The 27,891-nt window shown below is 40.2% G+C and overlaps 1 protein-coding gene across 38 annotated transcripts in view, besides 1 other annotated feature; it reads left to right on the top strand.

Moving 5' to 3' along the window:
* PEX5L (peroxisomal biogenesis factor 5 like) overlaps nucleotides 1-27,891 on the top strand; it is a 241,980-nt gene that overhangs the window by 203,415 nt on the left and 10,674 nt on the right. For 37 of the 38 annotated variants that reach the window (NM_001349404.2, NM_001349401.2, XM_047448299.1 and 34 more), the window contains 6 exons: nucleotides 13,547-13,663; nucleotides 17,519-17,662; nucleotides 21,652-21,722; nucleotides 23,855-24,052; nucleotides 25,086-25,251; nucleotides 25,692-25,849. In NM_001349404.2, coding sequence (NP_001336333.1) covers nucleotides 13,547-13,663; nucleotides 17,519-17,662; nucleotides 21,652-21,722; nucleotides 23,855-24,052; nucleotides 25,086-25,251; nucleotides 25,692-25,849 — 854 coding nt within the window. The remainder of the gene's footprint in view (nucleotides 1-13,546; nucleotides 13,664-17,518; nucleotides 17,663-21,651; nucleotides 21,723-23,854; nucleotides 24,053-25,085; nucleotides 25,252-25,691; nucleotides 25,850-27,891) is intronic. The other variant, NR_146167.2, reaches the window with a different exon arrangement.
* Nucleotides 21,862-21,911: an enhancer, noted in NCBI's record as "active region_20871". NCBI's record gives its function as "activates an Ori minimal core promoter by ATAC-STARR-seq in GM12878 lymphoblastoid cells {active_cell/tissue: GM12878}" and the evidence as "EXISTENCE:reporter gene assay evidence [ECO:0000049][PMID:35858748]".

Genomic DNA, 27,891 nt, shown 5'->3' with positions numbered 1-27,891 from the left:
AACCTAGATAATATTTGCCAAGCTACAATATTGATTGATCCTTAAAGCAAAGAACAGGTTAGAGAGGCAGAGAGGGTTGAGGGGAAGCAAGATTGCATTAATGAAAAGTGTGCAAGAGTAAGAATTAAGAGATGTGGGTTCTGGCCCTGGTTATGTTATTAACTAGCTATTGACCTTGGACAAGTAACTTGTAAAGGTCAAATATGTTGAGACACTTGAAAGCTCTTTTAAAACTATACATATTCAATATTGTTGCTCTTTGTAAGAAGTAATGCAGTTTTGTCACTAAATCCTCTTATTTCTTCACTCAGAAAACCTCTTAGATTCACCCTTTCCTCTCCATTCCCACTGTAATCATACAGGCTAAACCCAGATTACTGCAATTGCTTCCTAATTTATCTCTCTTTGGCCCTACTGCCCACAATCCATCCTCATAAGGAGGAGTTGGACTGGATGTCCTAAGGCCCAGATTCTATCAGACAATAAGCAAGAAAAGAAAACATAACTATTCCTTTCCCCACTCCACTCCCATCCTTAGCCTAAGCTATGATTCAAAGAAGGCATTATTTAGTTTAACAGTTGAAGATTAGTTACAAAGCTAAATATGTAAGTAGGTAGGTAGGTGGGCGGGTGGGTAAGTAAGTAGGTAAGTAACTAGGTAGGTTGGTGGGTAGGTAGGTAGGTGGGTAGGGTAGGTAAGTAAGTAAGTAGGTTTGTGGGTAGATAGATGAGTAGATGGGCGGGTAAGTAGGTAGATCGGTGGGTAGGTAGGTAGGTACGTGGGTAGGTAAGTGGGTGGGTAACTAAGTAGGAAGGTTGGTGGGTAGGTAAGTGGGTGGGTAAGTAGGTAGGTTGGTGGGTAGGTAGGTAGGTGAGGGGGTAGGTAAGTAAGTAGGAAGGTTGGTGGGTAGGTGGGTAGGTAGGTGGGTGGGTAAGTAGGTAGGTTGGTGGGTAGGTAGGTAGGTGAGTAGGTGTGTAAGTAAATAGGAAGGTTGGTGGGTAGGTGGGTAGGTGAGGGGGTGGGTAAGTAAGTAGGAAATTTGGTGGGTAGGTGGGTAGGTAGGTAGGTGGGTAAGTAAGTAGGAAGGTTAGTGGGTAGGCAGGTGGGTGGGTAAGTAAATACAAAGGTTGGTGGGTGGATAAGTAGGTAGGTTGGTGGGTAGGTAGGCAGGTGGGTGGGTGGGTAAGTAAGCAGGAAGGTTTGTTGGCAGGTAGTTGGTGAATAGGATCACCCAAGTGAGAAGGCTCCCTCTCTATCTCTCTCTCTCTGTCTCTCTCTCTCTTTCTGTAGCTCTCCCCCAACCCCACCCCAACATCTAATCAAACACCAAGTCCTATGGATTCTATTAAAGATCTCTCAAATCCACCTAATTCTCTCGTTCTCCACTGCCAGCACCCTACCCTAGTCACTATCATCTCTTATATAGACAACTGTAACAGCCTTATAAACATGTTGCTGTCTTCGGTGTGGAGAATAGAATGCCCTATGTACTCCATTCTCCTCATTTCAACCAGAGTAATCTTTCTAAAACACCGATCTAAACAATGGCTTTACACTTGTCCTTAGAACAAAGTCCAAGCTTATTCGTCTAACTGTATAAGGTCTTTTCTGATCTTGAATATTCTATATCCTCACCTCTGACACCTTCTGCCTTCAGGTCTACACTGGCATCGTCATAATCAGTTCCCAGAATGGGTCCTGTAATCCTTCTCCTAGCTTTTACATATGCTGTTCCTCCTACTGGAAATTTTCTTTCCTCGTGCCATTACATGGCTGACATTTGTTCAACCTTACAGTCTCAGTTGGGTGTTATCTGCTTCCAAGAAGACTCCTGAACTCCTAAGTCTAGGTTGGGTTCTCTCCTCTCCCAGAGCACCTTTCCTCCCCCTTACCCCAGCCCTTATAATGCTGTATTGCATCTGTCTATGCCCCAGCAAATTGCACACTCCAGCAGCAGGGTGAGCATCTCTCTTGCTCACTGCTACACTCTGGTGACTAAAATACTGCCTCCCACGTAGTAGGCTTAACCATAATGTTTCTGAATAAATTAATTTAATGTGAAAGTGTAATATGATTACTTTGAGAAGATGCTACCCTTCAAATTTTATGAATTACTTCAAAGAGGTTCCATATTTTTAAAAAATCTATCTTATAAAGACATTAGAAAAGCACTGCGGTCTTGTAGGTTTTTTTTTTTTTTTTTAGACAGAGTCTCGCCCTGTCACCCAGGCTGGAGTTGGAGTGGACTGGTGCAATCTCAGCTCACTGCAACCTCTGCCTCCTGGGTTCAAGCAATTCTCTGCCTCAGCCTCCCGAGTAGCTGGGATTACAGGCACCCGCCACCATGCCCGGCTAATTTTTGTATTTTTAGTAGAGATGGGTTTCACTATCTTGGCCAGGCTGGTCTTGAACTCCTGACCTCATTATCCACCTGCCTCAGTCTCCCAAAGTGATGGGATTACAGGCGTGAGCCACCGTGCCCAGCCATATTTCTTTTTAAAATGGTAGACCTGCTTTCCAAATGTGATCTTACTTACATAATAGCCCCGAGATGAATGCAGATATATATCATTTGTTAAAGTCTAGCAAATCTTGCTAATACAGGCAAGTGACTGAAAATGGAGGAATGTCAGTCCATCTAGAGTCTCCTCCCCTTTGTCTGTCAGGATCTGTGGAAAACAGTTCTCAGAGAGTGGGGTTTTTTCTCTGGCCAGTAGAGTCTCTGGCCTGGCATTTTTGGGGAGCCTCTCTTTGTTTTGATACCAGGAATGAGGCAGCTGCTGCCAAGAAGCTAGATCAAATGCCTAGTATCCTTGGAAGAGAAAATATTTCTCTAGTCCTGTCCAAATTAATCCTCATAGGCCAATAAATCAATACACCAGGAAAATATGGGATGATTTTGGCCATCTGGAATTTTTTGAGGCATTGGTGGGTATAACAGAAACTACCTAGTTCCACATTAGGCACGAATAGCTGTATATTAGCTCAAGGTAACACAGACACATTCACCTTCCCACGTGATGCCACCAGCACCAGATCCATGGCTGGAAGCTCCCTCCAGCTTTTCAGAATCCTTGCCTTGCTGTTGAGTCAGCCAGTTTGATTTCAGCGTCAAAGCAGCTTCAACCATTTTCCTACCCAATAGCCTCGTAAGATAAGAAGCCAGATCCAGACTTTGTCTTTACATTTGGTCAACCATTTTGACAATCAGGTAGTCATAAAAAAAAGGGGGGGGGCGGGGGAGGAAATCAGAATATCAGGGCAATATGATCAATACAATATAAGTGATTTTTTAAATTGGACTTTCTCTGCCAAAATGAAACAGGTTTTTTCCCCCCTCCAAATATTCTGAAAGAATGAGAGGAAAATACTATTTCCACAAAGTAAAAGGTAGTATCTATATGGGCTTTAGATATAGCAAGTTTAAGGCCGGGCGGTGGCTCAAGCCTGTAATCCCAGCACTTTGGGAGGCCAAGGTGGGTGGATCACCTGAGGTCAGGAGTTCGAAATCAGCCTGGCCAACATGGTGAAACCCCATCTCTACTAAAAATACAAAAAAAAAAAAAAAAAAAAAAAAATTAGCCAGGCCTGGTGGCAGGCTCCTGTAATTCCAGCTACTCAGGAGGTTGAGGCAGGAGAATCGCCTGAACCCGGGAGGTGGAGGTTGCAGTGAGCCAAGATCACGCCACTGCACTCTAGCCTTGGCAACGAGAGCAAAACTCTGTCTTAAAAAAAAAAAAAAAAAAAAAGATATAGCAAGTTTAAATTATTTATCACCAAGGAAAATATTACAAAGGAAAATGCATCTAAACTAATCCCTCTGTTGACGTTTGCCTGCATCAAAGGAAAACGGGAGAAAAGAACCCGTTCATTCCTAGACATAAGGTTGCTTAGTTGTAGCTATAAATGCCGCCCCCGGGTGGGCACTTTCTGTGTTCTAAGCCAAGTACTTTACATTCCTTCATCTCACTCAGTGCTCACAACAGCCCTATCAGCAAAGTGTTACTCCCATTTTAAGGTGGAGAAACTGGGACATTGAGACATTCAGTAACTTGTCCAAGGTCACACCACCATTAAGTACTGAGATTCTAACCTGATCTAACCCCAAGATTCCTGCTCTTAATCACTGTTCCCAATATAAAGCACTGTTTGGTGCTATTAATTTTGCAGGCCCTGAACCAACCACAGAACTTAAAAGTTTTTGGTCATCAGAAAACAATTTCTTTATCAGAGAATTTCTCTTACTTCAGAAGTTTTGAAAACAACTATAGTATGGCAGCATCAACTGAAACAGTCCAGAGAAAAGCAAAAATAGTAAAGGAAATTGGAAAAGGTTTGGAGAGGTCAGAAACTCCCCAGCAATCCCACTAGACTAATAAATTAACTGTTTTCATTTTTTCATGTTTCTTCCAGTCTTTGTCTACTCTGTATACATAATTATATGCAGTTTCAAAGGTCATTTTAAATTACTGGTTAGTACTGAGAAGATGAATATGTCAAATGAGTGTTCTTCTCAAAAACACACCAAAAATTATTTTAATTCTTTTCTCCACATTCTGGGTTTCATTTCCCTTTCTAGAATAATAACAGCAACAAAATCTTGAAGAATTCTGATTCACACAGCAGATGTGAGGATGAGAAAACCTGCTGGCTAATTGGAGATGAGTTTCACTGGAAGCAATCACGTAAAACAAACTATGTCATAGACTCTTATTCCTGAAAGCTGGTCGCAGGATACACAAAAATTAGCCCACCAAAGGTCTCTGTTTTTGTGGAACTTTAGATGCTCATACACTAAGGCTTTATCTCAACATTTTCTAGAGAACCCTAAACACACACACACACACACACACACACATACACATAGTTAAAGGTAAAATACATTTAGGAGACTGCTGCTCACATACCCCTCTCAGAGATTTAAAATATACATTAACATATGAAGATCCTGGGAAGTTACACAGTAAGGAACCTGTTTCCTTATGTCCAGAAATTGCAAACTCAGTTGGCTACAGGGCCAGGCAGGTAAAGGTATGGACCTGGTGCTGACTGTGGCAGAGACTACATGCAGCATCTGAAAGTTGCTGCTTCTAGAAATGTGGGTCTTGTATTAACAGATCTTCACAAAATGTCTGAAATCTGGGTTTTCATGTGAAATTTCTCATCCAGGATGAGAAGGGAGAAAACATGTATCTTGGCTAGATCTGCTAAGGAAAACCAGAGACATACAGTCGTTAAAGCAGTAAAAGCAGATTTTATTCAGGAACTATTGCAGTGGGTGCCAGGGGGAGGAAGACCTCAGCATAGAACTGGGCTCAGTTCCGAATACAGCATGGACAAGCAGGGATCCAGCCAAAGAAGGGTGGGTATCAGTGAATGGGAAATTACTAAGAAGAGACATCAGGGGTTGGGGGGATTCTGGTTGAACCTACCTTTTTAGGATTTTTGCTGAAGGCAGGCCAGGTGATCAGACATCACCTGGGGGATGGTGGGAATGAAAAATTTGGTCAGATGTAGAGGCAATCAGATATCAAGAGAGGAATTCTGTCTAGACTGATTTAGCAGGATTCTTGCTAAAACTAGACTTCACAAGGACAGATATGGAAACCTGGGATTGAAGCCTAGTTGAGAAAAGGGCTGGGGGGAGATTGACTAAAGTTTGGTCACTGAATTTTCTGTCAGATCTGACCTGTAGGCTACCAATTTGCAGCCTTTAGCTTAACCTAAAGTAGCTGAAGCTCATTTGGCCACAGAACTCTGTTCCTAGAACAGTCTTTTGGGAGATACTAACACATTTCGTTGGCCTACCAACCCTTCAAAGAAGCCTCCAGAGTAAAGTCCCTTCTCTAAGCCTCATCTTCCTCCCCCACTCCAGTCCTCTGGCCTAAAGTAGTAAAAGATGTTCCAATTACTATGGCTGTGTAGCACATTACTCCAACACCTGTGGCTTAAAACAACAATATTTGTTTTGCCCAAAACTCTGTAATTTGGGTAGGGCTCAGAGAGGATGGTTCATCTTTGTTCCACAAGGTGTCAGAGTGGCTTGAAGGCTGAAGATGAGGGTAGAAGGCTGGAATCATCTGAAGGCACACTCACTCACAAACAGATTCTTGGATGGATTATGCTTGTAGTTACTCGAGACATCCCTGAGACTGATGGCTGGAACACCTCCATGGGGCCTTTGAGGCTTGGGCTTCTTTGCAAGGTGGTAGCTAGATTCCAAGGGTGAGTGTCCTCAGGAAGAGGTAGGCAGAAACTGTATCACCTTTTAGGGCCTAGCCTCAAAAGTCACGCCCGGGTATTCCCATTGTGTTCTATTTGTCAAGGCAGGCATTCAAAGACAGAGCAATAGACAAACTCTTAATGAAGTGAGACAAGGTTCTGGAGAGATGGGAGCCAGAAAAACTGCTGTAGCCATTTGGGGAAGAAGCAATCGACTGTCAAAGAAAAGAATGAAGTATTTTGATTTCTGGTTGTATCATTTACCAATGATAGTGTGAGACTGAGCAAGTAACTTCATCTCTTTTTGCATTTTATTGTTCACCCTGTCCTGAATTACAGTTACCACTATTTTTATTTTATCATTAGGCACTGAGCTTCTTGAGGGTAGCATCCACATCTAGATATTTTTGTTCTGGCTTGTTTCATTTCCTAAATATTTTCATAATGCAATGCACAGTGACAAACATGTAGTTTAGGCTTAGTAAACATGTGCAATACTTTATTTTTTAAAACAAGTAGAGAGCTTCCTGGTGAGTTTTCATGACTTGTAAACATGTCTAAAGAAAAAGAAACCCATTCAGGAACTGACTCCCACTCCTCTAGTTCACTGCTGGCTTTTTTCATCACATAACCTGTTATCATACGGAACACAGACAAGATTCAAACCCCAAGACCCTCTGCCCATGTCTACATGTCCCCATCTCCTCATGCCCATGGTAAAGGAGCCCTAGTCACCAGCCCCTACTTGCTGCAATAAAAAACAGCCACTGAGAAACTGGCCCTGCAAAACCTTATGCCTGAAGCACAGAAAGCTTCAGCATATTCCATTGCACATTAACAGCAGTTCTTTTTTTGTGAAGGCAAATACCACAGGAGCCAAGAACACAGATATAATCATGTGAAATTCCAGTTCTGCAAAGACATTCGTTTGCTAATGAATATGCTAAAAGCCTTTCAAAAGTGACCCCTTCCTATTTAGACAACATACTTTGCTCTTTGTTCTTTAATATTCCATTTCTGTTTGCCCTCTTGCTGGGTAAGGAGGAAGAGAAAGGAAATAACAGAACACTATCTAGGATTTCCTCTGTTAGAAATGGCTCTTGATTTCCTTCTACCAAACTTCTTGAACCTTATATTGTTTATTTCCAGCCTCCTGTGCTCATTCCTCCCCTTCCCATCATTTCCAGTCTTTCCTCCCCACATTTCTGCAGCTACCCTGCTGGCACATTGCTTGGTGAGAGCCTCGGGCTGTTTGTCCAGGTGCCTGCCAGCATCTGGAGTGATGGCTGACTCCGTCACTAGAAAAATCTGAGTGCTAGTACCAATATTTTTGTTTTGCCATACTTCTGAACCACACAATTCACATAGTTTATAAGATTGCATTCCGTCTGTATCCTGGGAAATATTATTTTTCATTTCCAAGCAATAAAATAGCATTAACTGCTGATTCCTTAGCTCTTAGATGTTACAAGTTCTAAGCACTTCACATACATTGTTTCGCTTAACGCTTACTCTTAAGAGATTTTTTACAATTTACAGATGAAGAAACTGAGTTAAAGAGGTGAACTAAGTTGCATAAGGTCACGTGACAAGGAGCCTAGCCAGAATTACAGCCTGTTTTACCTGAGGCCAAAGCCCATCTGTTTTCCTCCATACACTGTTCATTTCTTTTTAAAATTTAACTCCTTTTTTTTTCCAGCATACCCCCACCAATATTGAGACCTATACTGTTTAGATTGAGAAAGGGGAATGCATGACAGATCCATGTTTATCTCACAGAGATTTGATTAATTTTGAGCCTTCCCGTTTGGCTCAGTAAATCAATTCATTAATAACATTGCAACCAGAGACACTCACAGTTGTTAGAGACCAAAGAATTCTTTGGGTCAAACCTCCATCTGATTTGTGAATCATCTTTACAGCACTCCTCACATTGGTCATTCCATCCCTGAAGACTTCTAAGGTTGAGGAGCCCATTTCATTTTCAGGCAGTTTTGTATTGCATTTGATAAAAATTTGTCCCCCTGGAATTGCCTTTCATTTATCCTGGTTCTGCCATCTGCAAAACAAAGCTGGGCTGGTTTGCTCAGCTCTCAGCATCCCCCTGATGATTGTGTTAGCAGGTGAGTTGCTCCTTTACCCATTCTTCATCAGCAGGGTTACTCCTGCCCAAGGTCACTCATGCCTGAAGAGATTCCAGTTTGTCAATGAGACCACTACATGGGACACCCAGCACCATACTAAGAGCTCAAACTAATTCTGACCAATTGAAATTCTATCCCATCCTCCATGAGAACACTGCACATCTGTGATGTAGCTCTGGGTTGAATATGTTCTTTGGGCAGCCACATAAAATCTTCAACTAGTATTGAGCTCTTACTCAACAGGAAATATGGTGAGTAGAAACACTCAGTTACCGTTGGCCAGCCTGGACTACTGGACCCCAGGGCAGTGAAGCCCCACATTGATATGCACATAATTTCACTTCAGCAAAATTGTTTGTTGGGGCAAATTTTTAATCCAAACTTGCATAGTGGTTTTCATTCCTTGTCATGTAAAAGAAGTACTGCTTTTTTTTTTTTTTTTTTTTTTTGAGATGGAGTTTCACTCTGATTGCCCAGGCTAGAGTGCAATGGCACGATCTCGGCTCATCACAACCTCCGCCTGCCGGGTTCAAGTGATTCTCCTGCCTCAGCCTCCCGAGTAGCTGGGATTACAGGCATGCACCACCACGCCTGGCTAATTCTGTATTTTTTAGTACAGACGGGGTTTCTCCATGTTGGTCAGGCCGGTCTCAAACTCCCGACCTCAGGTGATCCACCTGCCTCAGTCTCCCAAAGTCTTGGGATTACAGGCGTGAGCCACCACACCTGGCCTACTTTCTTTTCTTCTGCATAGGCAGAGCTGTTTGGATTGGTTTGGTTTGGTTTGGTTTTCTCAAGTTTTGATCCAGTGACAGTTAATCAATGGAAGTCTAAAGAGGCAAAAAGAAATCCAGACTCCTCCCAGGAAGAATTGGCACTTAATCTCACATTGATTAGTTCCTTTACAGCACAACCCCAGGATCTTTCTAACTGACAATTACATTTGACCACAAAATCAAAAGTAGCTCTATGTTAACTAGATGACTAAAATAAACTGGTGAATTGGAATTGATAATATGCTGCCATCCCTTAAACTTTCCTGTTCTAAAATAAATTGCTTCTTTTCTTATTCTTCATATCTTAATATAATTAATATTTAATTAATATTGCCCTGGTTCTTATAAAAAAATTTTGTTTTCCAGTTTTACAATCAAAAAAGTGAAGGAAAATAACGTCCAATGTACTTTTGGGAAAACATTTTAAAGTATAATTTTTGGAGATTATTAAATAGACTAGAAGGCCCCTTTAAAAAAAAATGTGATTCTGTGCTAAGATCTTCCTTCTGCCTTATTCTGATCTGAGTCAATCCATGTAGACAAAGATGCCTGAGCTGCTATCTAATGAACCCAATCTTCTCACTTTACAAATGAGGAAAAATAACTTACAGATGAGTTAAAGTGACTTGCTCAAATTCAAGCACACATCTTTCTTCTTTCAAACCACTAACACAGAATATCAATGATGAAGGAATTCAGAGGCAAAAGATTGCTCTAGTGTGGGAATGTTGAAGAAAACATCATGGAGAAACTGAAATTGAAAAGAAGTAAGCATTTTTTTAAACCGAATCTTACTTTTCCACCAAAATAACGTATGCTAGCAATAGAAAATTTGGAAAATGGTAAAAAGTACATTAAAAACTGATGGGATAAATTACTAATAACCTCATCCCATAAAAGAGTTATACAGCGCCTTTCTCTAGTCTTTTCTCCCCCAAATCATTATTGTGGTTGTTTTTCTGTTATTGTGATTATACTACTTAGCAAGAAACATTATAACTCAAGAACTATTCAATATTATAATAAACTATTCATAAACATCATTTTAATTGCTGCGTAACAGTCCATTATAGAGGTTTTACCATAATTTTCTTAACCTTGATCTTATTTTTGAGTAATTAGATGGAAGGGAAAGATTTAAATGAAGAGAAGGAAGATGTCTAGAAGAAGAATATGTTTTTACAGCAGATGAAAACACCAAACTATGCACAGCTTTTATATTTGAGCTTTGCGATTGTGCGTGATTTTTGTTTTATTCTCTATATTTTTCTCAATACTACAAAGACACTAGCAAGAACACTTACTTTTTTTGAGCACCTACCATGAACTTTATGCCACGGATGCATTTTCTCATTTAGTTGTCATAACAACTAACCAAAATTGCTATTATATCTTCATTTTAAATATAAGGAAAATAAGACTTAGAAATATTAAGAGATTCACAAAAGGGCAATGATGGAACAAGAATTTGACCCAGGTCCATCCAAGGGGAAAGCTGCTATTCTTAACCACCATGCTGCATATCCCAATGTTTTTATGAGTATGTACTATATTTTATCATCAGAGAACTATTCTTAGACATGGATATGGATGGCAAATAATAGCTCATTTCTGATATAAGCAGATAGCTTGTTACACAGAGTATAAACAGCAATCTACCAAAATCCCAGAAGAGCTAAGAAAATCATCAATAAATAAAATCCCCTCAGTTATGTCGAAGGTCTTTAAAATTCAGATATGTTTCAGGTTTCTCTAAAATTCATTTAAAATAGTGAGAGGAAGCAGCGTTAATTGTAGCTACGTGAATGAAGTCTGGATTCTGCAACAGGATGAAAATTGATTATACTAAAAGTAGTCTTCTGTAATTAAATGAAAACTGTGCTCTGCACTTTAATTAGTCAGCAGTAACTCATTTTAAGTGGTAACAGTGAGTTCTGGTGTATCTCATTAAGTGAGAGCCCAGCAGCTCTACCTCAGCTGAGGTTCTCTCAGTTTTCCAAAGCAGCCTTATTTATGTATCTACTGCTCTAATTTCAAGCTGCAACAAAGGTAATGCATCCTTTGGTAACTCAGATGTACACATTATCAAATCCTTCTCTTTCATGCAGAAGACTTGTAATATGCTTTAAATTCCAAGGACTCTCACTAGATGAATGTATTTGCCTTGGAAAGTATATGCAGTCATTGGCCTCTCGTATCACCCAATGGGAGTCTGGGAAAGTCAGCAAACATTGTAAAATTCACTTGATAGATTTGTCTTTCCTTCTACTGCAGACAGGTTAAACCTGCATCTTTGAAAAGCTATTTAAAAAATGAATTACCCCAAATATTTTCCAAAGTTTTTAGTATCTAATAATTCAGGTTTTGTGGTATTAAAAAAAGGAAAGATATTTTTGTTTTGTTGTTTAACCTTATTTTTTAATTATAAAAGCAAAGTATGCTCATCATAGAAAATTCAGAAAGTAGGAAAAGTATGAAGAGGCAGGAAAAACATCCCTCATTATTTCTTCATTCAAAGGCACATTTCTATTAACATGGTGGCATATTTCTTCCTAGTCTTTTATCTAGCCATTGCTATTGTATATTTGAGATCATTCTGTTTGCACAATGTGTTATTCTACTAGAAAAAGCCATTAAAAATAAATTTTGATTTTTATTTCTGAGCTGAACCTGGATACCTAGTAGCCATTCCATGTGCTTCCAGCATCATGGACATAGATTATCAAGATGCCTGCTGCCTTGTTGAGAGGAGGCCTTTGCCAAAGGGGCAGAACCCGTTTCTGTGAGAGGAATGAGAATTCTGGACATAATAAAGCAAGAGCAAGAGCTACTATTTAGTAGCCTGGGATTATCACATTGGGCTGGTTCTTATTCCATGAACATTTGTATCTAAAAGAAATAAGATTATAATTACCACTCAAAGCAACTCTGAAGAAGAGTTCTTGCTTCAGGGCAGCCACAGCCCAGGCAGACCAGAAGATTAAAAGGTGAAGGTTAACCTCAAGTCAGTGTGATGGTATATCAACAAGTCACAGGATTTCGAATCATAGACACTGAGATTTGCAATTTGTAAAGAGTATGAATTTCAGTCCCAGATTCAGGTGTTCAAGGAATACTCATTGTTTTGTTTGTTTGTTTAAAGAAAATAAAGTGGTTTCCAAGTGTCTCTCTTAGCAGGCTGGTAGAGAACTTACTCTAGGGCATGAAATATGAAATATGGAAGGCTTATGTAGTGTCAGAAAACAAGGACAGAGTCTCCCCCACCCGCCGCCCCGCCGCTTCTGGCTGTCATGGTGACCACTAACAGCTATCCAAGGCCAAAGTGGTTCCTTGAAATTCACTTTCTATTTCCCGGCCATGTGAGAACAGGGGTTCAAGTGAGCCTTCTTTATATATCCACAGTCCTCCTCTCTGATATCAAGCTCGTTTGCCTGGGAAATAGCTAAAAACTGAGCACCAGTCTCCCACTAATCAGAACCTGCCACCCTCCATCTCTTTCCCTACCCCTGGAAAATTCTGTCTCTCTTAAATTCTTTAAGATGTTTGCTTCTTCCTCCTGCCCCTTGGGCCACCCAAAGAACTCTCTTCAGGCTTAATAAAATAGGAGTCAACCAGGGACAGCTCTTGCAGCAAAAATCTTCTTCAGTCTAGGAACACACACCTCCCTTGAAGTAAAGAAGAGTAAACAGCCTGATTTCCCTTACCGAAGATGTGTGGGAAACTACAAGGAAACAAAAACAAAGTAGCATTTTTCAAAAAATCCTGCCACATAAAAGTCCTTGAAGAGGATTCAGTCAGGTTCACACCAGGGTCCCTCATTCTTTAGCACCAGCAGACCAAGTTTGCCATAAGCTTACAAGTGTGGGCTTGGAAGGCAGATGAGGTTCGGATCCTGTGAGTCCTAGCTTTGGGACCATAACCCTCCAGGCTCTGTTTTCTGCTGGCACAGTGCTTGACACAGAGTAGGATCAACTAATGTTTCATTCTCTTGTCCATACCTGGCTGTCCTCCCAAGTCACTGCTCAGCCAGTCCCAAAGCAGTTGCTCTAATTCTTTATATGCTAGGAGCAATTCTGGGAGAGACTGCCCTTCCTAAAATGTAGCCTAGTGCCCACACATGAAACTGTACATAACTAGTGGGTTTTTAGCTGAATTTGGCATATGTGGTCCTGGTCTTTCTGATGGTAGTTATTTTCCTGCTGGAGAAAACCACAGCTAATCCACTTCAACACTCTGACCAGTGAGTACCCTCCAGAAGCTCTTCAGCCACGCCTATCAGTTGGATGTCATCAGCCATTTTATTCCTCCCCAGAAGCCTCTTTTATCTATTAGGGGGGGAAGAAAAACACAGATGATGTGGCATGTTCTTAAATCCATCTCCATTCATTTTTCCTGTCTCCCAGTCAGATACAGAGTTTTGGGATAAGATGCAAGCAGAATGGGAAGAAATGGCTCGGAGGAACTGGATATCTGAGAACCAAGAAGCCCAGAACCAAGTAACCATCTCGGCTAGTGAGAAGGTAACCAATTCTGTTCCTATACATGCTGACTACTTTTCTCCACCTTTTTGGATCATATTTTATAGATTAGTCAATAGCTATTCTGTCAAAAACACAGTAATTAAAAAGACAATTTAATGTCAATCTGACCTAGAAGAAATTCTGATAGAATGAGACAACGTAATTATCCAACGTGTGAAGGCAGCCAAGTTGGAATGAAATGCTCTTATTTTTATCGGTGTTCAGACAGACAGTTTGGCAGCTGACCAGAGCTTGGATCCTGACTGCTAGCCAGTTACTGAACTAGCTGACACTGAGGGTGGGTTGGAACAAGAATTGGTCTAATGTCACAATACTCTTGTCAGCCAGTCATGTGAGTGCTGTTGATTTACCAACAACAGAAGTGATACCAGTGGCATGGGAATGAAGTGGAGACTTGGGGCTATATTTCACAGGTGGTCATTATATAGCCAGCAAAGAAACTCTGTGGAAAAGATGCTCTCACACAACCAGGTAAAGTCCCAAGAGGATTCCTTAGAGGTACTCCCCTGATAGGAGCCCCAGCAAATGCACAAGTACAGTGAACAACCAGCCAAATCACTCATGAAGTCCCAGTTGCTCTAGGATTTATGCATTTAAAAACACTTGGTGGGGTTGGGGGGAACACTGAGGAATAAGTGTAAATGACTTGAAAGAAAAATGTGGAACTTTCTTACCTAAAAGAGCATATATCACAATAGCCAAGATATAGAAGCAACCTAAGTGTCCATCAACAGACAAATGGATAAAAAACAATGTGAGCCTGAACAACAGAGTGAGACCCTGTCTCTACCAAAAAAAAAAAAGAAAGAACTGTAGTTCTACAGTTCTACAGGAGACTATAGGGGACTACGCCTGTAGTCCCCAGCTACTCAGGAGGCTGAGGTGGGAGGATCACTTCAACCCCAGGAGGTCAAGGCTGCAGTGAGCTGTGATGGTGTCAGTACACAGCCTGGACAACAGAATGAGACCCTGTCTTAAAAAAAAAAAAAAGAAAAGAAAAGAAAATGTGGTACATATATACAATGGAGTACCATTCAGCCATAAAAAAGAATGGCATCCTGTCATTTATAACAACATGGATGGAATTGGAGGTCATTATGTTAAGTAAAATAAGCCAGGCACAGAAAGACAGACTTCATATGTTCTCACTTGTTTGTGGGAGCTAAATTTAAAACAAATGAACTCATGTGAATGGAGGGTAGAATGATGGTTACCAGAGGCTGGGAAGGGTAATGGGCAGGGGAGGGGGGTAGGGAACTGGGGATGGTTAATGGGTACAAAAACATAGTTACATAGAATGAACAAAATCTAGTATTTTATAGCATATTGGGTGACTACACTCAACAATAATTTATTGTACCTTTTAAAATAACTAAAACAGTATAATTGGATTCTTTATAACACAAAAAAAGGATACATGCTTGAGGTGATGATATCCCATTTACCCTGATGTGACTGTTACACACATCACATACGTGTATGCCTGTATGCCTGTATCAAAATATCTCATGTACCCCATAAATACATATACCTATTAGGTACCCACAAAAATTAAAAATTAATTAATTAATTAAAAGAATAAAAGAAAAACTATATATAGATAAGTATATATTATTATTTTGTGGCGGAGGAAGTCTCAGTAATATTCAGTTCTGGATAGCATTCATGATATTTTGCTAATGCAACAAATATTTATTGAGTATCTACTCTTACACTAAGTACTGGGGATGTGATGACGAATAGTCTCCGATTTTAGTAGATCTGCAATCTACATAGTCATTAAAATGTCTCTCTCCTCCAAATACTCTGTCCCTCAATGGGCCAGGCAATCTCATAAAATTAGAACAACCATCTCATTAAAAGTAACTGTCTTTTCCACAAGGAAATCATAGCTAAGTGAGAACACAGGACATTGATTCAGATCATCAGACTCTGGGCTGTAACTCGTGCCCCCGAGGTCTGCCTGAGCTCCATAGCCCCTTACTCCCAGAACCCCATACCCACACTAACCCCACATAAGCCAGTCACACCCTGTGGCTTTTGATGGGGCATTTTGTCCTTCTAAGCACCTATGGAGACTGAAGGCCTCCACTTGATCTACTCTTAAACCTTAGTAACATCATCAACACACTAGCTTATTTGTATCTATCAAATTTAAAAGATTTTATGACAATCTATGCAAGTAAAATTGCAACAAATAACATCTCTCAGATACTTCAGATGAGAGTTTAAATTGGACAAATTTTTCTCAAAAACAATTTAGCTACACATTTCAAGGGCTTAAAAATAGCTCATAACCTTTAACCTAATAAATCCCTCTGGGAGTCTATCCTAAGGTAATAAGTACATGCAGCAAAGATTTGTGCATAAGGCTTTCACCGTAGTTTTATTTATGATAACAAAAACTTTAAAATAACCTGAATGTTCATCAATAGGGGATTGAGTAAATAAATATAGCCTATCCATGGGAATAATTTTAATAACATAGAGAAATCACAATATAAAACTAAGCGAGGCCTAAGCTACAAGACTGCCTATGTAATATGTGCCTACTTGTTTAATTTATATGCTCATAGAAAATACCAGTTATTTATACATCCTGTATTCTTTAAATTTTTACAATTAAAAAAAAATCTTTAACTTTAAAACATGCATGCTCAACAGGGGCAATATAGCCCCCAACAGGCAAAAACTGGTTCAGGGTGAAGGCAAAAAAATTCTTAGCTATGACAATGGTTTGTAGTTCTCCAAAGGGCCCTAGTAGGTAAACAGATATACAGTATGTGGGATTCATATTTCGGGGTATGGGTGGTAGCACTTAGCAAAAACATGTCTAAAGAATCAGTATTTTTAAAATCTTGAGGGGAAACTGTTGAAACAAAAAGAACAAAAAATATCAGAAGAAAGCAAACTCAAAAATATTAGTGGTCGTATCTCGGTTGTGGCATTACAGGTAACTTTTTGTATCTTTTTATATTATTTAGTATTATCTAAACTTTATACAATGAAAATGTACTATATTCATAATAAGGAAAAGCAGAAATTTAAATTTAAAATAAATAATAATTAATCAAAATAAATAAATTTAATTTAAAATTGTTTATTATGCTTTAAGTTCTGAGATACCTGTGCAGAACATGCAAGTTTGTTACATAGGTATACACGTGCCATGGTGGTTTGCTGCAGCCATCAACCCATCATCTACATTAAGTATTTCTCCTGTTGCTATCCCTCCCCTAGCCCCCGACCCCTCAACAGGCCCCAGTGTGTGATGTTCCCCTCCCTGTGTCCACGTGTTCTCATTGTTCAACTCCCACTTATGAGTGAGAACATGCGGTGTTTGGTTTTCTGTTCCTATGTTAGTTTGCTGAGAATGATGGTTTCCAGCTTCATCCATGTCCCTGAAAAGGACATGAACTCATCCTTTTTATGGCTGTATAGTATTCCATGGTGTATATGTGCCACATTTTCTTTATCCAGTCTATCATTGATGGGCATTTGGTTTGGTTCCAAGTCTTTGCTATTGTGAATAGTGCTGCAGTAAACATATGTGTGCATTTGTCTTTATAGTAGAATGATCCTTTGGGTATATACTCAGTAATGGGATTGCTGGGCCAAATGATATTTCTGGTTCTAGATCCTTGAGGAATCACCACACTGTCTTCCACAATGGCTGAACTAATTTACACTCCCACCAACAGTGTAAAAGTGTTCCTGTTTCTCCACATTCTCTCCAGCATCTGTTGTTTCCTGACTTTTTAATGAGAACTTATTGAATGTGAGAATGAGAAGAGAAATCAATGGCTCATGCACTGGCCTTTTTCTGTGTTGCAGGGATATTACTTTCACACTGAAAACCCCTTCAAGGACTGGCCTGGAGCATTTGAAGAAGGCTTAAAAAGGCTGAAGGAAGGGGATCTGCCAGTCACCATCCTGTTCATGGAAGCAGCAATTCTTCAGGACCCTGGAGATGCAGAGGTGTCATTCTCCCTTCATTCTGCCAGACTCAGAAAGGGCATGTGCTAACAAGGGACAGATAACACAGAACTCTGCTGGGTCAGCTTTTCATCAAGTAAAGGTTCCCAGAGGAGTTAACCTAGCTTAGTCTACTTGTTTAAAAGTTACAAATAAGTACCCGTTTTCTAACCAAATTTCTAATTGGCAGTGTTTACAGTGCCTATAAATAAAGATTGGGGGCAGGAAAAGAAAAATCAAAATTACCAACCTGAAGGCTTATCAGTAGTTTTCTTTTTTTGAGACAAGTCTTGCTCTGTCAACCAGGCTGGTGTGAAATGGCGCAATCTCTGCTCACTGCAACCTCCGCCTCCCAGGTTCAAGCGATTCCCCTGCCTCACCATCCCTAGTAGCTGAGATTACAGGTGCCTGTCACCACGCCCAGCTAATTTTTGTATTTCTAGTAGAGACAGAGTTTCACCATGTTGGTCAGGCTGGTCTCGAACTCCTGACCTCAAGTGATCCACCGGCCTTGGCCTCCCAAAGTGCTGGGATTACAGGCATGAGCCACCGCGCCCAGCGGTAGATTTCAAGGGACAGTATATAGCGGTAGTTTTCAAGGGACAGTATATAGTGATGTCTGGCTCTTGTGTCACACTGTACATCACCCTTGGTTTACTCACGCCACATTTATTGAACACATACTATGTTCCAAAAATTAGACCAGGTCCTGGCTTAAACTATTAAAAGCTGAGAAAACATATCAGGTGGAAAACATCTTTATGGTCTATCTGGGAAAACAAGTAAAAACATCAATGTAGTGTAATAAATGCAATGTCAGAGTGTGCACAGGATGCTGAGAGACTAGAAAGCATCCAGCCTTTCTGCACAAGTGAAGCCAGGGTGGGGGCAGGAATTAAAGGCAATAGGGGAGTCAAGTTTTTGTTACAAGAGAGCGCTATGTGGGTAGGCAGAGGGGCATGAAGCATCCTGTTAAGAGGAAGAGGGGAGGAGAGAATGGTAGAGGGAAGGCAAGAAGAGATAGGCAAGAATTTGAAATTCATCTGAAAGCCATGGGAAACCACTAGGGGCCTGTACTCAGGAGAGACATACCAACAGATTGCATGTTAGAAAAACCCCTTTCTCCGAGATGAGAAGAGTGATTAGAGACAGAGGCTGGGAGACCACCAAAAAGCTTCTGCAGTCCTAATCCCCTAGATTCCTAAACCTGTGAAGGCCTATCATAAGATAGTGTCAATATAATGGTTTCTTCTTTCATTTGTAATTTTCAGGAATCATCATATAAAGAATATTCCCAAGGGAATCTGCAGAAATTGTAGCGACCGGTATATATACTGGTGCTGAGAATGCAATGTAGAATAGTGGTTAAGCATCTAGGCTGTGCTATCCCAACTGCATAGGTTCAGATCCCTGTTCTACCTGTTAGCCATGGGACCTGGGGCAAATCAGTTAAACCCTCTAAGTTTCAGTTTCCTCATCTGTAACATGGAAATCCTAATAGTAACTATCTCATTGGGTGTTGCAAGGATTAAATTAGTGCACACAAATAAAGTGCTCAGCTCAGTGCCTGGCACATCAATATTTAGCCTTCATTTTTATTATTGGTTGTACTTTATGTAGGAAGAATGAGTAAACTGATCACTACTTAAATCTTGTAATATCTTGTTCAAAAGGCTTACAGTGAAATGGGGTTGAACTGAAAGCTGAAATTCTGAACCAAAATATTAGAATTTTTAAAAGATAGGCCAAGCGTGGTGCCTCATGCCTGTAATCTCAGCACTTTGGGAGGCTAAGGCGGGAGGATCAGTTCAAGCCAGGAGTTCGAGACCAGCTTGGCCAACGTGGGGAAACCCCGTCTCTAGTAAAAATACAAAAAAAAAAAAAAAATGGCCGGGCGCGGTGGCTCACGCCTGTAATCCCAGCACTTTGGGAGGCCGAGGCGGGTGGATCATGAGGTCAGGAGATCGAGACCATCCTGGCTAACAAGGTGAAACCCCGCCTCTACTAAAAATACAAAAAATTAGCCGGGCGCGGTGGCGGGCGCCTGTAGTCCCAGCTACTCGGGAGGCTGAGGCAGGAGAATGGCGTGAACCCGGGAGGCGGAGCTTGCAGTGAGCCGAGATTGCGCCACTGCAATCCGCAGTCCGGCCTGGGCTAAACAGCGGGACTCCGTCTCAAAAAAAAAAAAAAAAAAAAAAATTAGTTGAGTGGGATGGCTCATGCCTGTAATCCCAGCTACTCGGGAGGCTGAGGTGGGAGAATCACTTGAACCAGGAGGCGGAGGTTGCAGTGAGCCGAGATCGTGCCACTGCACTCCAGCCTCAGTGACAGAGCAAGACCCTGTCTCAAAAATAAATAAAATGAAAGATATATTCTCGTTGTAGAAGAGGAAATTATTACACTAATATGAAACTATAGGCCACCCCCTAAAAATAATAATGTCATCTTACATAAATGCTATGTATTTTACAAGGCGTTTTCAAATATATTACATTATTTGACACAACAGCCCTGGAAGATTTTTTTAAGGACATATTACGATCTCAGATTCATAAATAAGAAAATGAGGGCCTGTGGTAACTAACAAATTCCAGACAAGGACCCAGGGCTTCTGAACCTATGGAGACCTCAAAGTTAAAGTAATAACACTGCAGACAGTGAAAATGACACCATGGCCAAAGGCTAGAAAAACGTCCCCAGAGAAAGACTATTTCATCAATCTTTTCTTAAGAAGCATTCTAAGATATATGAAAGGTGAAATCAAAATAGAGGTTGCTGTCTGTATGTTTAAGAGATTTAAAAGAATCAAGGATATTTGGAGGGAGGAATAATCAGTATTTTTATGAGTTTATAAGGTATATGTAATTATAACCCATGAGAGGAAAAGCCAAAACCATTCAAATGGCACTTTAAGATAACTGTGCTTTCATAGAGTTTTGTTTTAAAACGGTATAATCTAAAATGATGTTTGGGGAGTGTGTAAGAGTCTTTGGGGAGTGTGTAACTCTCCCAGCCTTGGGAAGGAGAGTTACACACTCCCCAAACATTTTTAAACCTTAAGACCCTAATATACCTCCACCCCCAGCAAATTTGAAGACAATGTGTGTAATGAGAGGTTTCTGCTTGTGTGTATTACTCTTATAACAGTGTGAGAGTTATTGTTCTTATGAGTATACAGAGAAAAATTTGCTGTGTTAAAAACTTTAATTCTAGATATAAAAACATAAGCTATCTGCTTGAAGATGTTCTTCATATTATTTACAATAGCAAACAATTGCAACCAACTTAAAGCAATAAGGGAATTGTTGAGTAAATAATGGAATAGCCATTCAACAAAATCCAAATTAAAAATTACAAGGATTTTGTAAAAACATGAAAAAGGGCTTAAGGTACGATGAAATGTATAAATGTAGACTATAAAATTATGTCTACATTATGATTGTGTTATATGTTTTGTGCATTTTAACAGTGATTACCTTAGAGGAATGAACACATCATGGGAGATTTTGTTTGTTTTGCTTTTCCTAGTTCCTAAATCTCCTGTGAATTCTTCTAGTAAGTGACTTTCATTCATACAAGCTAAGTTAATATTGTACATCTTGAGATTCCTTATTGTAAATTTCATTTAGCTACATTTCTGGGTTATATTTCCACCCCTTTTCCTCACAATCGTATAATTTTATATATTTATCCTTTGGTTTTAAGATACCTAATATAACGAAATCTCAGAAATTCAGAGGTTTCCATCGCACTGGGTTATAGGAAAGGATAAATACTGAACGAATTTGGAAATAATGACAGAGGATCTTGAGCCAGGTGTCACAAGAGAGTTTGAATGAAGAAATGCATACAATATTTTTCCCTTTTATATAGCGCTCACATATGAGACAGCTTGCTCTGCATAGGGGATCCATCACAGGTCAACAAACCAACTGAAGCACATGAGTAATTCTGCTTCATCTTGCAATGTTAACATCAGTTGTCTTTCGTAGGCATGGCAGTTCCTCGGGATAACCCAGGCGGAGAATGAAAATGAACAAGCAGCTATTGTCGCCCTCCAGAGGTAAAGGAAGCTAAGTGCAAAATCATGGGCCTGGTGGATACTTGTTAATGAACTTCCTGTTTCAGATTTGTCTTTTGATCTTTACTGAAGTACAGTGTAAAGAATTTGTAAAGGATAAGTGCTGAGATACCGCATATCACTCACACTTAGCTCTGAAAAACAACTTAGAATGAAGTCATGTTCCTAACAATGTCTTACTATCTACAAATCAATGGACATTCACTGGCACCAGAGAAAGCCTGTGTTAAACCCAGTCATAAAGTAGACTCATTGAATAAATAGTTCCTTTTAACGTTTTAGCCTTCTGAAACATCTGAAAATATTCTTCAAAAAAAATAAGTGGAGTACTGACTAATGGTCTGGATGACGTTGGAGCAGGAGGGATGGGAACAGTGGGTGTGTGTAATATTACACCCTACTTGACTAGAGCTCCTATTTAAACCCTGGAAAAGTAGCCTCTGCCAAATAGACTTCCACTTTCCCTACCTTTTATTTTGAGTGCCTTTAATATAGTGCTATAGGAAGAGAATATATATGTGTGCGTATACATATGCACACACACACACACACACACACACACACATACATTCCATATGTTATATGTATGGTGTTTATATGAATGTACATACATAATGTATGTGTATAAATCCTATAGCTTTGGAATATCAGATTGTAAGAATTCTAGACTCTTGCAATTCTAGGGCTTTACAATCTTGGAATCCTAGATTTCAAGATTCTGTTGGTATTTGATGAAGTAACGGTGCCTGGGGTGTGGCCCTGCGTTCAGAGCCTTTTCCTACAGATGAGAGAATTGGGGATCAGGAAAGGTCAAGGTCACACAGAGAGTATGTAACAGAGACAGAACTTGAACCCTCATCTCCCAACTCCACATCTGGAGCTCTGAGTCAGTGGTTCTTAACCCTGTATACACATGCACATTAGAATCGTTTGGAGGGGAAAAATAATGCCCAAGCACAGCCCAGAGATGATCATTTAATTGATCAGGGCTGGGAACCAAGCAGCAATAGTTTTAAAACTCCCAGGTGTTTGTAATGTGCATCCAGAATTAAGAACCTCTCTACCCAGTGCTGATAATCTGGGAGATTAGGCCCACCACAGAGTGGTATTATGTCCTGCCTAGGGCTTGCTCCTCAGAGTCTTATCCAGAGACCTCATCATCACCTGAGAACTTGTCAAACCTGCACAATCCCAGGCCCACCCCAGTAGACCTACTGGATGAGAATGAAGATTTTATAAGACACCCCAGATGATTCACATGCACTTCAGTTTGAAAATCCCTTGCTAGAGGCCAGTGGAATAGAATGAGGGGGAGTAGCTTTAGCCTGTGTCTCCTGTAAACCCACATCAGTAGTTCTGAAAACACAGGAATTTCCCTCTCCTTTGCAAAAGACTGTAAAATCTTTCATATCTAGATGTCTACATTCAAGTCAGTTCTCTTTGGGGATAATAGATATTTAATATATTGGTAGTAGAGGCCAGGTGTGGTGGCTTACACCTGTAATCCCAGCATTTTGGGAGGCTGAGACAGGCGGGTCACTTGAGGTCAGGAGTTTGAGACCAGCCTGGCCAACATGGAAACCCTGTCTCTACTAAAAATACAAAATTAGCTGGGTGTGGTGGGCATCTGTAATCCCAGCTATTCGGACGCTGAGGCAGGAAAATCGCTTGAGTCCAGGTGGCAGAGGTTGCAGTGAGCCAAGATCACACCACTGCACTCCAGCTTCAGTGACAGAGTGAGACTCTGTCTAAAAAAAAAAAAAAAAAAAAAAAAAAAAAAGCAGCATTAAAATAATGATATCCCCTATTTCTCATGAGATCTCATTAGATTAAGCACTAATAAATCATGTGCAGGGATAAGCCACATAGTTTTAAAGCTACTTATTAAAATTACCAAACCTAGCAATCATTAGGGTAAGTTTTAACTTTCTTAAAAATATGCTGAGGTCTCCATTTTTATGTGGATAAATATGGTGCTTTCCAGGAACTTGACATAAGCAAGCTTACCAATGCTTTTGCAGTATTTAGTTAATAAAGACCCCCCACATTTTCTGAAGAACTGTTAGATTGTGGCTCAAAAAAAAATCTGAAATTGGCTTCTTTTTTTTTTTCAGGTGCTTAGAATTACAGCCCAACAACTTAAAAGCTTTGATGGCCTTGGCTGTGAGTTATACTAACACTGGCCATCAGCAGGATGCCTGTGACGCTCTGAAGAATTGGATTAAGCAAAATCCAAAGTACAAATACCTTGTGAAAAGCAAGAAGGGATCTCCAGGCCTCACCCGGCGGATGTCTAAGTCCCCAGTTGATAGGTATCCTTCTCGTTATATTACAGCTGGCAGTAAACACCCATATATACAATGAATCACCTAAAGGGCAACTAATGAGCCTCACACCCTAGACACCACCCACTCCAGAATGGTTTGCAGGACAGTATTCTGCTGGAGGAGCATCACTCGTTAGAAAGATTAATGCTTAGACCAGGGCCAACCTTCGGGCACATGATCTACATTGTGGGCACTCACAGACATTTATCTGAGTGCCACATTTTAAAGTCAAATGCTTTGGACACAGAATTCACCCAAGGTGAAGTATAATAAATACCAATGCTCCAAGTTTTATCCAGCCTGAGAATTAGGAATGGGGAAAATGAAAGTCTCGTCTTCTAGAAATTTTGTTTTCTTTTTTTTTTTTTTTTTTTTTTTTTTTGAGGCGGAATCTCACTCTGTCGCCCAGGCTGGAGTGCAGTGGCACAATCTCGGCTCACTGCAAGCTCCGCCTCCCGGGTTCACGCCATTCTCCTGCCTCAGCCTCCCGAGCAGCTGGGACTACAAGGGCCCGCCAACACGCCCGGCTAATTTTTTGTATTTTTAGTAGAGACGGGGTTTCACCTTAGCCAGGATGGTCTTGATTCCCTGACCTCGTGATCCGCCCGCCTCGGCCTCCCAAAGTGCTGGGATTACAGGCGTGAGCCACCACGCCCGGCCTAGAAATTTTGTTTTCTATCAGCAATAAATCCTTATGTTAAATCCTTATTCACTGAGGCCTTGGGAAACTTAGCTGTGGGGTTTTCCACATTGGCACTCATAGAGTCAACAGAACTCGCCTCGTGAAGACCTTACTTAGCACAGTCTGTATCCGTGTACAACAAAATAGTTCATGAAATTCAACCATATTTTAAAACATTCAGCATTAATAGTCCTCTCATTGAGTTAAGGTATTTTAAGCAAAATTTTCCAGTCTGTAACGAAGAGACTTCTTGAAATACAGTCAAGGGATTTAACAGTAAATCATTTATGTTCTGACTATTTGGATTACAAATCTAATTTTTTTTTTCTCTTGTAGCTCTGTTCTGGAAGGGGTGAAGGAATTATATCTGGAAGCTGCCCACCAAAATGGAGATATGATCGACCCAGACCTGCAGACAGGTCTAGGGGTTCTGTTCCACCTGAGTGGAGAATTTAATAGAGCAATAGATGCATTTAACGCTGCCTTAACTGTTCGGCCAGAGGTAAGACAGCACAGCACAGCAAGAAACCACAGCGTTCTCTGTAACAAATAAGTTTTCACAGGCTACACCGTCTACATTTCTTCTGCACTTTATTTCCCTGACTCCAATGGTTTAAAGTGATGGGTACTAATAATAATGTGCTACTGTGGCTGTTAATATTGAAATACCTGAAATACAAACACTAATATTGAAATACCTAAAATAGAAACACTAATTGATGTTGTTGATGACAACATCAAATGGTAGCTGTTCATTGACGAGTGAAAGTCATTTGACAAAACTGTCCGTGAAGATTTTTTAGTAATTCACCTGGCCATGGTCTCCATCCATGAGCACTGCATAAATTTTTAGCCATCTTCCTTTCTCTGCAGAGAAATACAGGAATGCTCTGTCATTGTGCCTTGTACTGGGTTGTTAGAAAGTTCTGATTTTGTCATCAGGACTATTCACTATGGAACCGCCTCGGGGCGACCTTGGCGAACGGAGACCGCAGCGAGGAAGCCGTGGAGGCCTATACGCGAGCACTGGAGATTCAGCCAGGATTCATCCGGTCCAGATACAACCTAGGAATAAGCTGCATCAACCTGGGCGCCTACAGGTGAAGTACAGCAACAGGCCAAGGATGAAGGCCATGCCCAGGACTGAGGTCGAATAATCTGAAAGGTTGTTTCCAAGTAAAAATGCCTGCCTTGGTAGGAGTATTCCTCCTCCTGCCGTTAAGGGTGAATGTGGAGCCTTCAGATCCCAAGGCCTGTTTGAGCAGGAACCCTGTGCTTCTCTGGTTCTCAATCTTTAGAGAGCAGCAGTTGGCTCCGCATCTTGGGAAATGCAGATTCCCAATTCCTGGCCCCTGAGATTTTGATTCAGTTGGCCTGGATTAGGACAAGTTATCAGCATTTTCAACACCCCCAAGGGCAACTCTTCAAGAAATAGTACCCGTCAATCTTTCATTTTCCACTTAAGGAAAAAAGAGCCTTGGGGGTGTGGGCAAGGGGACCTGGCAAAATGACTTTCAGAAAGTCCCAGAATCAGTGTTTAGCAAAGCAAAACTAAGAGTCCAGGTTTTCTAAACCTAATATACCAATCAAGTTAGTTGGGAGAAAAGAAAAAACACAACTGGGCTTATAGTTTAAAATGCCTTTCTCATTCTCGTCCTTCGTCGTTAAGGTCTGCGTCCTCTCTTTCTTTTTCCCATTACCAGGGCCTAGAAATGACCTTTATTTCTTTCAGATAATGAAAGTATGGGTAATCTTTTTTCTTCTTTCTTTTCCCATTTTTTCTATTTTCTAAATAAACCGGTATTACTTTCATAATTTGGAAAAAGAACTAAATGTTAGTTTTGAACCCCACAAAAGATGTAAACCCTTTCTCATTCTCTGAAAGAGCCAGGCTTTAATAATCAGACAAGCCTGTGTTAAAATCACAGCTCTGCCATGTACCGGTTTTGTGACTCTGGTCTATAATTTTTAGCCTCAATTTCTTCACTTGTTAAAAAAAGAGAGAGAAAGAGGTAATGATTATTTTTCAGGATTTTGTACAGGTTAAATGTAATTGCCTAGCACAGAGCAGATGCTCAATGCCTAGCAGGCATTTATTATGATGATTATTATTTTTGCCATCATCATCCTTATTACTATTATTTATTTAGTAAGTCATCAGAGAACTGTATAACTAGATTTCACTCTTTTGACATCTAAAGAATGACTGCTTCTGAACTGCATTGGTGCATTTTGCCACTGGCAAACATTGAGATCCTAGAAAATAGTTGTTGCACTGTACGAAAAAACTCTTACAAAGAGCATTAGTCACTAGATTAACTGTGTCAAGAGAATTTTCTCAGATCAAAACCAGGAAGAGCTGAATGACTCCTTACCAAGCGGCTTGCTTTATTTTATGGACACTGTGAAATGTGCCACTGCAGAGGCCCTGTTTACATCAGCTGTGCAAAAGCCCAGAGCTGACTCTGTGCCACCCCCCTACACATCAGCTGTCCAAGCCCTGCGGATGTCTATTTTGTATCCTAACTTCATTCCTGGCTTCATCTGATTTTCCCGGCCAGATTTCCTATTTACGTCTTTCATTCACTTTTTTTCTAGATATGTTGTGTATATGTATTTTATGAGACACCTTAGATTCCTTTTTTTTTAGAACAAGGGAGATGTAAAACAAAATACATATATATATATAAAACATATAATGTAATTGTTATAATTGTTCTTACAAAAGAAATATATAAATATTACATACATTTTATATATATACTATGTATATTTTATATATTTTTTTTCAATTAAAGGAGGCTTTTATAAAGCTCCTAGATGAGTTTTTCTTAATTATAACTTCTTAGGGTTAGAAAACAATAATTGAGTGGCCAATAAAATACTTTCTTGGCATTCACAGATACAAAATTCAGCAGGGTTACTGTTTTCAGGGACCCATGAAGGCTCATGACAGGTAAAAATGGCCACCTCCGTTAAGGTGTAAATTTTAAATCCTCAAGCAGAAAGTCTCCCATACTGGAACAAGTCAATTTTAGGGTTGCCAGATAAAACACAGAATGCCCACTTAAATTTGAATTTCAGATAAACAACAAATAAGTTTTTAGTGTAAGTATTTTCCAAATATTGCATGGGATGTTAC

Source organism: Homo sapiens, chromosome 3 (genome assembly GCF_000001405.40).
Source record: "Homo sapiens chromosome 3, GRCh38.p14 Primary Assembly".
NCBI lineage: Eukaryota > Metazoa > Chordata > Mammalia > Primates > Hominidae > Homo > Homo sapiens.
Note: the sequence above shows the minus strand (reverse complement) of the source record. Positions and strands in the feature narration are given on the sequence as shown.